The sequence below is a fragment of the Homo sapiens genome, chromosome 17 (assembly GCF_000001405.40).
Source record: "Homo sapiens chromosome 17, GRCh38.p14 Primary Assembly".
Classification (NCBI taxonomy): domain Eukaryota; kingdom Metazoa; phylum Chordata; class Mammalia; order Primates; family Hominidae; genus Homo; species Homo sapiens.
The window spans coordinates 42,964,867-42,980,564 of NC_000017.11; the positions used below are offsets into that span (position 1 = coordinate 42,964,867).

Genomic DNA, 15,698 nt, shown 5'->3' on the forward strand with positions numbered 1-15,698 from the left:
CATTTTGGGAGGTCGAGGCGGGTGGATCACCTCAGGCCAGGAGTTCGAGACCAGCCTGGCCAACATAGCGAAACTCCGTCTCTACTAAAAATACAAAAATTAGCCGGGCGTGGTGGCGGGCGCCTGTAATCCCAGCTACCCGGGAGGCTGAGGCAGGAGAATCGCTGGAACCCGGGAGGCGGGGTTGCAGTGAGCAGAGATTGCACCACTGCACTCCAGCCTGGGCGACAGAGCGAGACTCCGTCTCAATTAAAAAAAAAAAAAAAAAAAAAAAAAAAGGCCGAGCGCGGTGACTCACGCCTGTAATCCCAGCACTTTGGGAGGCCGAGGCGGGCGGATCACGAGGTCAGGATATCGAGACCATCCTGACTAACGCGGTGAAATCCCGTCTCTACTAAAAATACAAAAAATTAGCCGGGCGTGGTGGCGGACGCCTGTAGTCCCAGCTACTCCGGAGGCTGAGGCAGGAGAATGGCGTGAACCTGGGAGGCGGAGCTTGCAGTGAGCCGAGATCGCACCATTGCACTCCAGCCTGGGCGACAGAGCGAGACTCCGTCTCAAAAAAAAAAAAAAAAAAAAAAAAGAAGAACAATTTGGCCAGCGTGGCCAACATGGTGAAACCCTGTTTCTACTAAAAACACAAAAACATTAGCCAGGCGTGGTGGCACACGCCTATATAATCCCAGCTACACGGGAGGCTGAGGCAGGAGAATCACTTTAACCCGAGAGGAGGAGGTTGCAGTGAGCCGAAATCGTACCACTGCACTCCAGCCTGGGTAACCCAGCGAGACTACGTCTCAAGAAAATTACATTACATTACATTAAAATAGTTTGGGCCAGACACAGTGGCTCACATCTGTAATCCCAGCAGTTTGGGAGGCCGAGGTGCCTGGATCAGCTGAGGCCAGAAGTTCGATACCAGCCTGGCCAACATGGCAAAACCCTGTGTCTACTAAAAATACAAAAATTAGCTCGGTGTGGTGGCGGGCACCTACAGGCTGGGATTACATCCCAGCTTCTAAGGAGGCTGAAGCAGGAGAATCGCTTGAACCTGGCAGGCGGAGGTTGCCGTGAACTGAGATCGCGATACTGCACTCCAGCCTGGCTGACAAAGCGAGACTTCGTCTCAAAAAAAAAAAAAAAAAAAAAAAAAAAAAAAGCAAATTAAACCAGGTGCTAATTTTTATCTTGTCAAATATCTGAAACGATTTAGAGAATGGAACACTCTCATTGTTCGTAGGAGTGAGAATTGGTACAATTTCATCAAAGAGCAACTTGGTAACAGCTATCAAAATGTTTAAATGTATTTTATCTACTCCTTGACCTAGCAATTCTACTTCTAGAAATGTACCCTACAGATATCCTGGCAAAAATATGTAAAGATCCACATTTTTAAATGTTGATTGCAATATTGTTTGCAAATGGTAAAAGACTGCCGGACGCGGTGGCTCATGCCTGTAATCCCGGCACTTTGGGAGGCCGAGGCAGGTGGATCACCTGAGGTCAGGAGTTCTAGACCAGCCTGGCCAACGTGGTAAAACCCCGTCTCTACTAAAAATACAAAAATTAGCTGGGCCTGGTGGCAGGCGCCTGTAATCCCAGCTACTAGGGGAGCCGAGGCAAGAGAATCGCTTGAACCCGGGATGCGGAGGTTGCAGTGAGCTGAGACCACGCCGTCGCATTCCAGCCTGGGGGACAAGAGCGAGACTTCGTCTCAAAAAAAAAGAATATGGTAAAAGACTAACGACCTACGTGTCCCTCAATAAAGAACCTGTGAAATTATGAAAAATACATTCAATGGAATACCATATAGCCATGAAAAAAATGAGTTAGATCTATATGTTCTGACTTGTAAAGATCTCCAATATATATTAAATGAAAAAGGGCACAATGCAAGATGCGGATGGTATGATTCCAGTTGTGTACACACACAGACACACACAACACATCTGCTAATTAAGTTTTAACATACTGCATGTAAGTAATATATACTATATGTTTATGTTCCATGTTATATATTGTTTTGTATGTTATATAATTATACCTTAGAACTACATAGTATAAAATAAATTATAGGTATTATAGTATTTATAATGCAGTATGGGGCCAGGGATGGTGGCTCAGGCCTGTAATCCCAGCACTTTGGGAGGCCGAGGAAGGAGGCTTAAGGCCAGGAGTTTGAGAGCAGCCTGGGCAACAAGCAAATCTTTACAAAAAAATAGTTTGTCCTAAAGACAAGGTCTTTACATATATATAAAATATATATTATATAATATATAATATAATATATAAAATATATATTATATAATATATAATATAATATATAAAATATATATTATATAATATATAATATAATATATAAAATATATATTATATAATATATAATATAATATATAAAATATATATTATATAATATATAATATAATATATAAAATATATATTATATAATATATAATATAATATATAAAATATATATTATATAATATATAATATAATATATAAAATATATATTATATAATATATAATATAATATATAATATATAAATATATATGTATTTATATATGTAGATATATAATATATAAAATATATATAATATGTATCATATATAATTTATATATTATATATTTTAAATATATAATTTATATATAATATATAAAATTAATATATATAATATATATTTTATATATAAAATTAATATATAATATATATATATTTTATAGAGCGAGACGGAGTTTCGCTCTTGTTGCCCTGGCTGGAGTGCAATGGTGTGATCTCGGCTCACAGCAACCTCCACCTCCTGGATTCAAGCCATTCTCCTGCCTCAGCCTCTGAAGCAGCTGGGATTACAGGCATGAGCCACCACGCCTGACTAATTTTGTATTTTTAGTGGAGACAGGGTTTCTCCATGTTGGTCAGGCTGGTCTCGAACTCCTGACCTCAGGTGATCCACCCACCTCAGCCTCCCAAAGTGTTGGGATTACAAGCATAAGCCACCGCACCTAGCCTACAAAAATATTTTTTAACTTAGTCAGCTGTAGTGTAGTCCTAGCTACCCAGGAGGCTGAGGCAGGAGGATTACTTGAGCCCAGGAAGTCAGGGCTCCATGAATAATGAATGTACCACTGTATTCCAGCCTGGGCAACAAAGCAAGACTCTATCTCAAACATAAATAAATAAATAAAGTTTACTTTTAAAGTAAATCCTAATAGTTTACCATGAGTTCAAGAGCAAAGTCTATAGGCAATGCATTTATTTTGTTTAAGTTACAGTCAACTGTACATATTAGGCACTCAAAAAAGTTTATGGACAAATAGAATAGCTGTTGGACAAATAAACATAGACATTAACTAGAGTAACAATCAGTTTTAAAAGTATAAAGAGGGCCGGGTGTGGTGGCTCATACATGTAATCCTAGCACTTTGGGAGGCTGAGGTGGGTGGATTACTTGAGGTCAGGAGTTCGAGACCAGCCTGGCCAACATGGTGAAACCCCATCTCTGCTAAAAATACAAAAATTAGCTGGGCCTGGTGGTGCACATCTGTAGTCCCATCTACTTGGGAGGCTGAGGCAGGAGAATTGCTTGAACCCAGAAGGTGGAGGTTGCAGTGAACAGAGACTGCACCACTGCACTCCAGCCTGGGCGACAGAGCAAGACTCCATCTCGGAAAAAAAAAAAAAAAGTATAAAGAGATTTCTAGAGTGTGCAGGAAGCTGAAGTGGCTGGTTCTAGAGATGACAGAATTAGCTGTAAGAAATCAGAGCACAAATCTGGGCAAGAGGAAGCACCCCAGCTTGGTTACTAGAGGGAGAAGAGGCTTGCCACCAGGAGGAATAAGTACAAGAAGGAAACAGACAGAGAACAGTTCCTAGAGATTTATTATAATCTGTTTCTTCTTTGGCTTTTTGCTTTGCCCCATATGCACACATAGTAGAGATTTCTATAATCTGCATTCTTCTTTGGCTTTTGTTTTGCCACATACACACACATACTCAAATAATCAAGTGGCCTAAACACAGAGATTAGAAACCAATCAGTAAGAAATCAGAAGCCCTACCAGTCTACCCCTCCCCGACCCTGCATCTGATGTGGAGCCATAGTCAAGTGCCTAGGAGGAAGACAAGCTTGAAGGACGACCCTTAATAAAGAGCTTCTAGGAAAGTTCAGAGATCTCAGAAGAACTTGGTGCACAGCCAAAGCGCTGACAAAGGCCTAGGCGCTAGCTTTCTAGAACAACTGGAAAATAGCCACAGCTGCCTTCCCAGCTTTGCGTCACAGAAAGTTAATTACTTGTTGCATCATCAGCACTGTCAGAATCATCCTGGGGGCGGGGGGGAAAAAAGACAAAGCACCTGTAGACCCTGCAAAGCAGGAACATTTGTGTTAACAAATACTGCTTCCTCTCTCCTGTTCTCCAAGTTTCTTTTTGTGATTTCCTAAACCACCCAACTTAGGGGGCTAATATGAAAGGTTTTAACTTACTTTGGATGTTAAGTAAACCAACACTACTTTGTCATACATCATTAGTTTCAGGACTTTTTTTTTTTTTTTTTTTTTTTTTGAGACAGGGTCTTGCTTCATCACCCAGCTGCAGTGCAGTGGCATGATCTCAGCTCAGTGCAACCTCTGCCTCACAGTCTCAAGCGATCCTCCCACCTCAGCCACTTGAGTAGCTGGGATTATAGGCTACTGTGCCTGGCTAATTTTTGTACTTTTGGTAGAGACAGGGTTTTGCCCTGTTGCCCAGGCTGGTCTCAAACTGCTGAGCACAAGTGATCCACCTGCCTTGGCCTCTCAAAGTGCTGGGATTACAGGCGTGAGCCACCACACCCACCCTAGTTTCAGAATTTTAATTAATGCTATTGCTCCTTACAGCTGGGGTAGGTCTTCTCTAGGATGGAGAAACAGAGGGGTAGATGGAAAGCAGGAGGGTCTTGCTAGGGTTTTCTAAAGCCTGGAGAAGAATATTAGCCTTCTTGGGCCAGGCGTGGTGGCTCACGCCTGTAATCCCAATACTTTGGGAGGCCGAGGCGGGTGGATCACCTCAGGCCAGGAGTTCGAGACCAGCCTGGCTAACATGGCAAAACCCTGTCTCTACTAAAAATACAAAAATTAGCTGGGCGTGGTGGCAGGCACCTATATTCCCAGCTACTCAGGAGTCTGAGGCAGGAGAATCTCTTGAACCCAGGAGGCAGAGGTTGCAGTGAGCCAAGATCGGGCCACTGCACTCCAACCTGGGCGAAAGAGTGAAACTCCTCCCCCACCCCCCAAAAAAAGAATATTAGCCCTCTTGGGTCAAACTCAAATTTGGTTAACAGGCACTGAGAACTACTGTGTGCTAGGAACTGGGATAGGAGCTCTCTAGTGGGTTGTTTTTAAGGGCTACAAAGAAACTGAAGGGTTGAGGGGAAGGCTTTACTTACATCCAAATCATCCATGGCAGGTGGAGGTCTCTTGGTGCTGACCTTCTTCAAAAGCTAGTGGGAAGAAAAAATAATCACAAGGGAGAAGGGAGTGAAGGAAGAACAATCTGCACATTGATGGTCCATAGAAGAATGGTTGCAGCCAGAACTGGTCAGGCAACTGCTCCCATCTTTAAAACATCACTGGAATTAATTTGAGAAAAGTAAATTGATCCCCTTCTTAAAAGAAAATTTAACACAAATCCAGATTGGAGTCGGCTAGTGTTTTTATAACTGAAACCAAATAATATAACGACAGTGTGTGATTTACTGGGGGCCAATTATTTATGATGTGAGTTTTTATACTGCTAGTTTTAACATCCCATGAAGTTGTCTGGCTTAACACGCGCACACACACACACACACACACACACACACACACACACACACAGAGGCCGGGTTTGGTGGCTCACATTTGTAATGTGAGCACTTTGGGAGGCTGAGACAGACAGATCACTTGAGGCCAGGAGTTCCAGACCAGCCTGGCCAACATGATGAAACCCCATCTCTACCAAAAATACAAAAAAAAATTAGCCAGGGGTGGTGGCGCATGCCTGTAATCCCAGCTACTCAGGTGGCTGAGGCACAAGAATCACTTGAACCTGGGAAGTGGAGGTTGCAGGGAGCTACTGCACTCCAGCCTGGGAGACAGAGCAAGACTCTGTCTCAAAAAGAAAACCACACACACAGGCCAGGCATGGTGACTTACGCCTGTAATCCCACCACTTGGGAGGGTGAGGCAGGTGGATCACCTGAGGTCAGGAATTTGAGACCAGCCTGGCCAACATGGTGAAACTCCGTCTCTACTAAAAAAATACAAAAATTATCCAGAAGTGGTGGTGGGCACCTGTAATCCCAGCTACTCAGGAGGATGAGACAAAATTGCTTGAACCCAGAGGCAGAGGTTGCAGTGAGCTGAGATCGCGCCATTGCACTCCAGCCTAGGCGACAGAAAACCACACACACACACACACACACAGAAAACAGTAGAACAAGAATTACAGAAAAGTGGAAAAACGTTTTGTCAAACTTCTTCAGAATACAGGCTCTACACTGAATAAGTGAATCAATGTATATAATTTCAATAATATTCTTTCCTCTCATCCCTATTAAATAAACATTGCACAAAATACGTAAAGAATATCAGCATCAATGAGTAACCTGCCTAGAGAGCTTGCATATCTCTGCTTGGCCCCAGTGACAATCCTCCAGAGACATGTGTGCAGAGAAACACAAAGAATGATCAAGTGGGCAGAACACAGTAGGTGTTGTCTCTCACCTCTGCATAATGTTCCACATGAGCCAGCTCCATCTCTTCATCCCCTTCCCAGTCTCTCCAGTTATCAAAGTCCACAGACAGCCACACTGGCTGCAAGAAGAGGCACCAAGAGTCACAGGCCAGGAGGGCAGGAGCAGGAGTGTGTGGGAGAGTGTGGGCATATGCATGGGAGCACGCCTGGGGAAAAGAGGGTCAGTAGGTCCCTAGTCCTCCCAACTGCACTCCTTTGACCAGGAACCTGCCAATCTACACACAAAGCTAGGCATGATAGAGTCTGAAAATCTCAGAAGTCCTACCCTCCGGCCAGGCGTGGTGGCTCATGCCTGTAATCTCAGCACTTTGGAAGGCCGAGGCAGGAGGATCACAAGGTCAGGAGTTCGAGACCAGCCTGGCCAATATGGTGAAACCTCGTCTCTAGTAAAAATACAAAAATTATCCGGGCGTGGTGACGGGCACCTGTAGTCCCAGCTACTCGGGAGGCTGAGGCAGGAGAATTGCTTGAGCCTGGGAGGCGGAGGTCGCAGTGAGCCAAGATCGTGCCACTGCACCCCAGCCTGGGTGACAGAGCAAGACTGCATCTCAAAAAAAAAAAAAAAAAAAAAAAGAAGTCCCACCCTCCAGGAGCCGATTGACTGAGGAGACAACACATCTGGAAAGATAATTGTATCATAAAGCAACATAGGCATTATGCCCTCTCTCTCTCCCTCTCCCTCTCCCCCTCCCCCTCCCCCTCCCCATGGTCTCCCTCTCTTTCCACGGTCTCCCTCTCATGCGGAGCCGAAGCTGGACTGTACTGCTGCCATCTCGGCTCACTGCAACCTCCCTGCCTGATTCTCCTGCCTCAGCCTGCCGAGTGCCTGCGATTGCAGGCACGCACCGCCACGCCTGACTGGTTTTGGTGGAGACGGGGTTTCGCTGTGTTGGCTGGGCCGGTCTCCAGCCCCTAACCGCGAGTGATCCGCCAGCCTCGGCCTCCCGAGGTGCCGGGATTGCAGACGGAGTCTCGTTCACTCAGTGCTCAATGGTGCCCAGGCTGGAGTGCAGTGGCATGATCTCGGCTCGCTACAACCTACACCTCCCAGCCGCCTGCCTTGGCCTCCCAAAGTGCTGAGATTGCAGCCTCTGCCCGGCCGCCACCCCGTCTGGGAAGTGAGGAGTGTCTCTGCCTGGCCGCCCATCGTCTGGGATGTGAGGAGCCCCTCTGCCTGGCTGCCCAGTCTGGAAAGTGAGGAGCGTCTCCGCCCGGCCGCCATCCCATCTAGGAAGTGAGGAGCGCCTCTTCCCGGCCGCCATCACATCTAGGAAGTGATGAGCGTCTCTGCCCGGCCACCCATCGTCTGAGATGTGGGGAGCACCTCTGCCCCGCTGCCCCATCTGGGATGTGAGGAGCGCCTCTGCCCGGCCGCGACCCCGTCTGGGAGGTGAGGAGCGTCTCTGCCCGGCCGCCCCGTCTGAGAAGTGAGGAGACCCTCTGCCTGGCAACCACCCCGTCTGAGAAGTGAGGAGCCTCTCCGCCCGGCAGCCACCCCATCTGGGAAGTGAGGAGCGTCTCTGCCCAGCAGCCACCCCATCCGGGAGGGAGGTGGGGGGGGGTCAGCCCCCCGCCCGGCCAGCCGCCCCGTCCGGGAGGGAGGTGGGGGGGTCAGCCCCCCGCCCGGCCAGCCGCCCCGTCCGGGAGGTGAGGGGCGCCTCTGCCCGGCGGCCCCTACTGGGAAGTGAAGAGCCCCTCCGCCCGGCCAGCCGCCCCGTCCGGGAGGGAAGTGGGGGGGGTCAGCCCCCTGCCCGGCCAGCCGCCCCGTCCGGGAGGTGAGGGGCGCCTCTGCCCGGCCGCCCCTACTGGGAAGTGAGGAGCCCCTCTGCCTGGCCACCACCCCGTCTGGGAGGTGTGCCCAACAGCTCACTGAGAACGGGCCAGGATGACAATGGCGGCTTTGTGGAATAGAAAGGCGGAAAAGGTGGGGAAAAGATTGAGAAATCGGATGGTTGCCGTGTCTGTGTAGAAAGAAGTAGACATGGGAGACTTTTCATTTTGTTCTGCACTAAGAAAAATTCTTCTGCCTTGGGATCCTGTTGATCTGTGACCTTACCCCCAACCCTGTGCTCTCTGAAACATGTGCTGTGTCCACTCAGGGTTAAATGGGTTAAGGGCGGTGCAAGATGTGCTTTGTTAAACAGATGCTTGAAGGCAGCATGCTCGTTAAGAGTCATCACCACTCCCTAATCTCAAGTAATCAGGGACACAAACACTGCGGAAGGCCGCAGGGTCCTCTGCCTAGGAAAACCAGAGACCTTTGTTCACTTGTTTATCTGCTGACCTTCCCTCCACTATTGTCCCATGACCCTGCCAAATCCCCCTCTGTGAGAAACACCCAAGAATTATCAATAAAAAAATAAATTAAAAAAAAATAAAAATAAAAATAAAAAAAAATAAAGCAACATAGGAGTCAACCAATAAGACAGACAAGCTGCAGCCAGGCGCAGTGGCTCACACAACCTGTAATCCCAGCACTCTGCGGGGCCAGGGTGGGTGGATCACCTGAGGTCAGGAGTTCGAGACCAGCCTGGCCAACATGGTAAAACCCCATCTCTACTAAAAATACAAAATTAGCTGGGCATGGTGGCACATGCTTCTAGTCCCAGCTACTTGGGAGGCTGAGGCAGGAAAATTGCTTGAACCTGGCAGGTGGAAGCTGCAGTAAGCTGAGATCGCGCCACTGCACCCCAGCCTGGGCAACAAGAGTGGAACTCTGTCTCGAAAAAAAAAAAAAAAAAGACAAGCTGCATTCCATGGAGTCAGAGACAGCCCTTCAAGGTCCATGTTCCAAAGTTTCCACATTTATACAGGGAAGAAGTTATTCACTCCTTCATTCAAAAGATATTTATTGGCCAGGTGCAGTGGCTAACATCTGTAATCCCAGCATTTTGGGAGGCTGAGGCAGGTGGATCACTTGACGTCAGGAGTTTGAGACCAGCCTGGCCAACATGGTGAAACCCCATCTCTACTAAAAATACAGAAATTAGCTGGGAATGCTGGTGGGCACTTGTAATCCCATCTACTCAGGAGACTAACGCAGGAGGATTACTGGAACCCGGAAGGTGGAGGTTGCAGTGAGTCGAGATCACGCCACTGTACTCCAACCTGGGCGATGGAGTGAGACTCTGTCTCAAAAAAAAAAAAAAAAAAATTTATTGAACACATACTATGGACAGACTCTCAGCTTGGCACTGGGTTTATAAAAATGTTCTGGCCGGGCGCAGTGGCTATCACTTATAATCACAGCACTTTGGGAGGCCAAGGCACATCAATTGCTTGAGCCCAGGGGTTCGAGACCAGCCTAGGGCAACATGGCAAAACCCCATCTCTACAAAAAATACAAAAATTAGCCAGGCATGGTGGCACACTTCTGTTGTTCCACCTACTCAAGAGGCTAAGGTGAGAGGATTGCTTGAGCCCAGAAGGGCAACGCTGCTGTGAACCTTGATTATGCCACTGTACTCCAGCCTGAGTAACAGTACGACATCCTGTCTCAAAAAAAAAAAAAAAAAAAAAGGTCAACACACTGTCCCAGCCACTTGGAAGCAAGCTGGGGAGGGAGATATAAATAAAGCACTATAATACAGTGTGAAAAGTGTGGTGGTGGAGTTATATAGGGGACATCATGGGAACCCCAAAAGGAGTCACAAGAACCCAGGTTTCTGGAGTGGCAGGGCTTTGAAGGATGCACAGGGATTGGGTGGGTGAAGGTAGTAATGATGGTAACTTTTCAGGAAGAAGGCATACCTTGAGCAAAGGTACAGAGGTGAGAAACAGCCTGGTTTTTGCAAAACAAACAAAACACAACAGTCTGCTGTGGCTAGAAGATAAAGCTTGGGGCAGAGAGTGTGGGATGTGCTAGTGTGTTATGTAACGGATCTCAACCTAAAGGGCAGGAAATCAAACGCTCAAATACCCAAGAGAGTCAGGGAGGTAATGAAAAGGAGCAAGTGAGGTGAAGTACATGATCCACTGAAAACTTCAACTCTAGGCATCTGGGGATGTGTATCAGTGGGGCTAGATTCTCTCATTTTTCTTTTTCTTTTTTCTTTCTGAGACAGAGTCTCACTCTGTCATCCAGGCTAGAGTGCAGTGGGGTGATCTCGGCTGACTGCAACCTCTGCCTCCCGGGTTCAAGCAATTCTCCTGCCTCAGCCTCCGGAGCAGCTGGGATTACAGGCACGTGCTACCGCGCTCTGCTAACTTTCGTATTTTTAGTAGAGACGGGGTTTCACCACGTCGGCCAGGCTGGTCTCAAATTCCCCACCTTGTGATCTGCCTGCCTCGGCCTTCCAAAGTGCTGGGATTACAGTCACGAGCCACCGAACCTGGCTCCCCGTTTTATTTATTTATTTTTTTTGAAATGGAGTCTCACTCTATTGCACAGGCAGGAGTGCAGTGGTGAGCTCTTGGCTCACTGCAACCTCTGCCTCCCGGGTTCAAGCAATTCTCCCGCCTCAGCCTCCCGAGTAGCTGGCACTACAGGCTCGCACCACCACGCCCAGCTCATTTTTTGTATTTTTAGTAGAGATGGGGTTTTGCCATGTTGGCCAGGCTGGTCTTGAACTCCTGACCTAAATCAATCCATCCACCTCAGCCTCCCAAAGTGCTGGGATTGTGAGCCACCTCTCTCAGCCTCCCATTTTTCAACAGAAGCTTATAGTCTGGATTTTTAGAAGATGCACATTTTTAAATGTCAGCAACTAATAAAAATTTTTTAATGTCAGTAACAAGTCAAAATAATTTCTTTTTTTTTGAGACGTTGTCTCGCTCTGTCGCCCAGGCTGGAATGCAGTGGCACGATCTCAGCTCACTGCAACCTCCACTTCCCAGGTTCAAGCGATTATTCTGCCTCAGCCTCCTGAATAGCTAGGACTACAGACATGCGCCACCACACCCAGCTAATTTTTTGTATTTTTAGTAGAGACGGCGTTTCACTATGTTGTCTGGGCTGGTCTCCAACTCCTGACCTCAAGCAATCTGCCTGCCTCGGCCTCCTACAGTGCTGGGATTACAGGCGTGAGCCACCACACCCGGCCTTAAAATAATTTTTGACACTGTAAAGATTAAAACAAATCTGAGAGCCAGATCCAGCCATCAGGCAGTCAGTTTTCAACCTTTAAGGAGGAGACGACTTTGGAGGGCCTTAAGTGGGGGAGCATCAGGGTCAAATGTGTGTTTTAGACAGACCATGCTGAGGGCAATGCAGAGAATGGATTGAAAATGGAACTGAAAATATGCAACAAACTTCTCACTGTATGCTGGTGAGGCTTGAACTAGGAAGAAATTAAGTAGTGAATTCATTAATATTTAAGAGGTCAGTAGAGCCTGGTTGTAAGCCACTACTAGAAAGAATAAGAGTCATCAGGGCTAGGTGTGGTGGCTCATGCCTGTAATTCCAGCACCCTGGGAGGCTGAGGCAGGCAGATCACCTGAGGTCTGAAGTTCGAGACCAGCCTAGTCAACATGGCAAAACCCCATCTCTACTAAAAATACAAAAAATTACCAGGTGCGGTGGCTTACACCTGTAATCCCAGCACTTTGGGAGGCCGAGGCGAGCAGATCACCTGAGGTCAGGAGTTCAAGAGCAGCCGGGCCAACATGGTGAAACCCTGTCTCTATTAAAAATACAAAAATTAGCTGGGCATGGTGGTGGGCACCTGTAATCCCAGCTACTCAGGAGGCTGAGGAAGGAGAATCACTTGAACCCAGGAGACAGAGGTTGCAGTGAGCTGAGATCACGCCACTGCACTCCAGCCTGGGTGACAGAGTGAGACTCTATCTCAAAAAAAAAAAAATACAAAAATACAAAAATTAGCCGGGCGTGGTGGCACACGCCTGTAATCCCAGCTACTCAGGAGGCTGATGAAGGAGAATCGCTTGAACCCAGGAGGCGGAGGTTGCAGTGAGCCGAGATGGCGCCATTGCACTCCAGCCTGGGCAACAAGAGAGAAACTCTGTCTCAAAAAAAAAAAAAAGAAAAGAAGAAAAAGAAAGAAAGAGAGAGAGGGGGAGGGAGGAAGGGAGGGAGAGAGAGAGAGAGAAAGAAAGAAAAGAAAGAAAGAAAGAAAGAAAAGAAAGAATAAGACTCATCAATTAATTTCTACAGTGGAAACTACTTCTGGGACTGGAATATAGAAAACAAGAATTGGCAGAGGCCGGGTGCAGTGGCTCACAGCTGTAATCCCAGCACTTTAGGAGGCCGATGCAGGTGGATCACCTGTGGTCAGGAGTTTGAGACCAGCCTGGCCAACATGTTGAAACACTGTCTCTACTAAAAATACAAAATTAGCTGGGTGTGGTGGCACATGCCTGTAATCACAGCTACTCGGGAGACTGAGGCAGGAGAATCGCTTGAATCTGGGAGGCGGAGGTGTAGTGAGCTGCGATCATGCCATTGCACTCCAGCCTGGGCAACAAGAGCGAAACTCCGAATCAAAAAAAAAAAAAAAAAAAAAAACAGAAAGAAAAAAGAAAAAGAAATGGCTGGGCACATTGGCTCACGCCTGTAATCCTAGCAGTTTGGGAGGCTGAGGCGGGTAGACCACCTGAGGTCAGGAATTCAAGACCAGCCTGACCAATATGGTGAAACCCCGTCTCTACTAAAAATACAAAAATTAGCCAGGCGTGGGGGCACAAGCCAGTAATCCCAGCTACTCAGGAGGCTGAGGAAGGAGAATCGCTTGAACCCGGGAAGTGGATGTTGCAGTGGGCCAAGATCGCGCCACTGCACTCCAGCCTGTGCTACGGGAGTGAGAATCCATCTCACACAAACACACACACAAAAAGAATCAAAGGTTTTGATTGTGAGTTGCAGTAAAGGGAAAGACCATGTTCATAGCAGTGCCAATATCTGAAGTGGAGTCTTACACATTTCATCACCTACAACGAAAGTAAGTTAACTGGGAGAGATTACCAAGAGAGTAAAAAGAGACTCAGGACAAATAGCTAATGTATGCAGGACTTAAAACCTGCATGACGGGTTGATAGATGCAGCAAACCACCATGGCACACGTATACCTATGTAACAAACCTGCATGTTCTGCACATGTATCCCAGAACTTTAAGTTAAAAAATAAGCCAGGCGCGGTGGCTCACGCCTGTAATCCCAGCACTTTGGGAGGCCGAGGCGGGCAGATCACCTGAAGTCGGGAGTTCGAGACCAGCCTGAGCAACAAGGAGAAACCCCATCTCTACTAAAAATACAAAATTAGCTGGGCGTGGTGGTGCATGCCTGTAATCCCAGCTACCCAGGAGGCTGAGGCAGGAGAATTGCTTGAACCCGGGAGGCGGAGGCCATGGTGAGCTGAGATCACGCCACTGCACTCCAGCCTGGGCAACAAGAGTGAAACTCCGTCTCAAAATAAATAAATAAATAAAAATAAAAAGAGAGACTAATACAGTTGGAAAAAAAAGATTAGGCAGGACTTGTTGAGTGATTGAATATTGGCTGGAAAGGAGGCAAGGACAATCCCAGCTGTAACCTGGGTACATGGAGAGAAGAAGCAGGCCACTTTCCACACACCCACCTTGATATCCTCCTTGGTAAGCCGCGGCCAGGCCACCTTTTCCTTCCATTTTCTCACAAAACAAGTAATAGAGCGGGAAGAGCGCTTATCCTGGGAGTCCTGCCAGATAGAGAGCCTCATTCTTAGGGTCTGGGGTTTAGAATTAATCTCCAGTTTCCCTGGGCAGCCCGGTTTCCATCCAAACCTTACTGTCCCATTTCACCCTTACCTTGGAGTTCACTTTGGCATAGAACTCAATCTCATTGTACAACTCCACTCCATCGGCATTCTTGCAGCTGAGGAGACAATGAAGCTGAGGAGATGCGGAATACTCCGTGTGGGGACATTAGGAAAGGGGTAGATTCCTGGGAAGCCAGGCCCTCGGACGGCAGGGCCACTACCTGAACACAATGCGGTGATCCTCAATAAGCACGTGGACATCGGTGCTGTCCTCAACACAAAACTCCATGAACACATACCTGGGCCTGTCGTACCACAAGGTCCGGGCGTGCTGCCTGAAGAGAAGTTGAGGTGTGGCTTCATAGGGGTGGGAGAGGGAAGACTGAGGTCATTTGGGAAGGGACTACCCAGGGACCTTTGATGCCACAGTTTTTTCAAAGTGGAGCTAAATGAGACAGAAGGGGTGAAAGGGAAGGGAATGACAGGAGTGGGTGGGTGTGGTGAATGTGAACCTGGGAAGAATAGAACGTGCAAGACTAGGAAACTAGGAGGTCAGGGAGAACATTCAGGTCACACCTTCCCTCACCCCACAGTTACAGAGACCAGGGGTCCGGGGCTCCCGTGGGGCCTCACAGAACCTGGAGCGCCCAGAAGACTTGGAGCAGGGAATCTCCAGGGAAAAGGGCCAGGGGGAGCACCGGAGCCGGAAACACTCACCGTGCCATTGCGGCTCCCGCTCCAGGGTGGCATTTAGAGTTCCAGGCAGGGGCCGCTATCTTTAGATCCTGGGGACGCCCCCAGCAGCTGCCTCTCCTTATATGGTCGGGAGAGCAGTTGAGAGGAAGAGAGAACATGACCTGGCAGCCAAGGGATCTGCACTCTGGAGATACTCTGGGACAGCTTCATCCTTGCAGCCCTTCACCGTGGGGTCTTCAGAAATGCATAGACTATGAAGAGACAACCCATCTGCTGGAACCAGGGCAAAGGCTGCCCTAGACGCTACACACAGGGAATGACTTTTCCCCGGTATCATTCACCTGTTTCTCCGACGCTTACTGCTCAGTGTCTGATTCACAATAGGCGCTCAATAAAACATTATTGTCCTGAATTAAATTCCCGGGGAAGGCGCGCCCTCGGGGACTTGGGTACTTCAGGCCCCGCCCACCACTCCCCTGGGGTTCCAGGCCACCGCGCCGTTGCCATGGCAGCAGGGGGGCGCGGCTGACGTGCGGTGGT

The 15,698-nt window shown here is 48.0% G+C and overlaps 2 protein-coding genes across 5 annotated transcripts in view, besides 4 other annotated features; both read right to left on the reverse strand.

Annotated features, from left to right (window-relative positions):
• The window catches only part of PTGES3L-AARSD1 (PTGES3L-AARSD1 readthrough), a 30,003-nt gene extending 14,341 nt beyond the window's left edge, over positions 1 to 15,662 (reverse strand). Inside the window, exons 1-6 of one of the 2 annotated variants that reach the window (NM_001136042.2) lie at positions 15,180 to 15,662; positions 14,684 to 14,797; positions 14,512 to 14,578; positions 14,304 to 14,402; positions 6,741 to 6,830; positions 5,423 to 5,476 (exon numbers count right to left, since the gene is read on the reverse strand). In NM_001136042.2, coding sequence (NP_001129514.2) covers positions 5,423 to 5,476; positions 6,741 to 6,830; positions 14,304 to 14,402; positions 14,512 to 14,578; positions 14,684 to 14,797; positions 15,180 to 15,316 — 561 coding nt within the window. In that variant the 5' untranslated portion in view covers positions 15,317 to 15,662. Of the gene's footprint in view, positions 1 to 5,422; positions 5,477 to 6,740; positions 6,831 to 14,303; positions 14,403 to 14,511; positions 14,579 to 14,683; positions 14,798 to 15,038; positions 15,147 to 15,179 lie in introns of those variants that run through there. The other variant, NM_025267.4, reaches the window with a different exon arrangement.
• On the reverse strand, positions 3,237 to 15,214 carry PTGES3L (prostaglandin E synthase 3 like). 3 transcript variants are annotated; one of them, NM_001261430.2, is made up of 7 exons: positions 15,180 to 15,214; positions 14,684 to 14,797; positions 14,512 to 14,578; positions 14,304 to 14,402; positions 6,741 to 6,830; positions 5,423 to 5,476; positions 3,237 to 4,320 (listed from the first exon to the last, which is right to left on the reverse strand). In NM_001261430.2, the coding sequence occupies exons 1-7, from the start codon at positions 15,185 to 15,187 to the stop codon at positions 4,282 to 4,284; spliced, it is 471 nt and encodes a 156-aa protein (NP_001248359.2). In that variant the 5' UTR covers positions 15,188 to 15,214; the 3' UTR covers positions 3,237 to 4,281. The 3 variants fall into 3 exon arrangements, with proteins under 3 accessions (NP_001248359.2, NP_001136126.2, NP_001136125.2); NM_001142654.2 differs by lacking the exon at positions 14,684 to 14,797; NM_001142653.2 differs by lacking the exon at positions 14,304 to 14,402.
• Positions 4,493 to 4,693: a silencer, noted in NCBI's record as "peak2851 fragment used in MPRA reporter construct". NCBI's record gives its function as "represses an SCP1 promoter by STARR-seq MPRAs in K562 erythroleukemia cells {active_cell/tissue: K562}" and the evidence as "EXISTENCE:reporter gene assay evidence [ECO:0000049][PMID:32103011]".
• Positions 7,763 to 8,329: an enhancer, noted in NCBI's record as "H3K27ac-H3K4me1 hESC enhancer chr17:41124646-41125212 (GRCh37/hg19 assembly coordinates)". NCBI's record gives its function as "activates a minimal SCP1, AML or CMV promoter by ChIP-STARR-seq in naive H9 embryonic stem cells {active_cell/tissue: H9 hESC(naive)}" and the evidence as "EXISTENCE:reporter gene assay evidence [ECO:0000049][PMID:30033119]".
• Positions 11,633 to 11,833: a silencer, noted in NCBI's record as "peak2852 fragment used in MPRA reporter construct". NCBI's record gives its function as "represses an SCP1 promoter by STARR-seq MPRAs in K562 erythroleukemia cells {active_cell/tissue: K562}" and the evidence as "EXISTENCE:reporter gene assay evidence [ECO:0000049][PMID:32103011]".
• Positions 15,626 to 15,695: an enhancer, noted in NCBI's record as "active region_12229". NCBI's record gives its function as "activates an Ori minimal core promoter by ATAC-STARR-seq in GM12878 lymphoblastoid cells {active_cell/tissue: GM12878}" and the evidence as "EXISTENCE:reporter gene assay evidence [ECO:0000049][PMID:35858748]".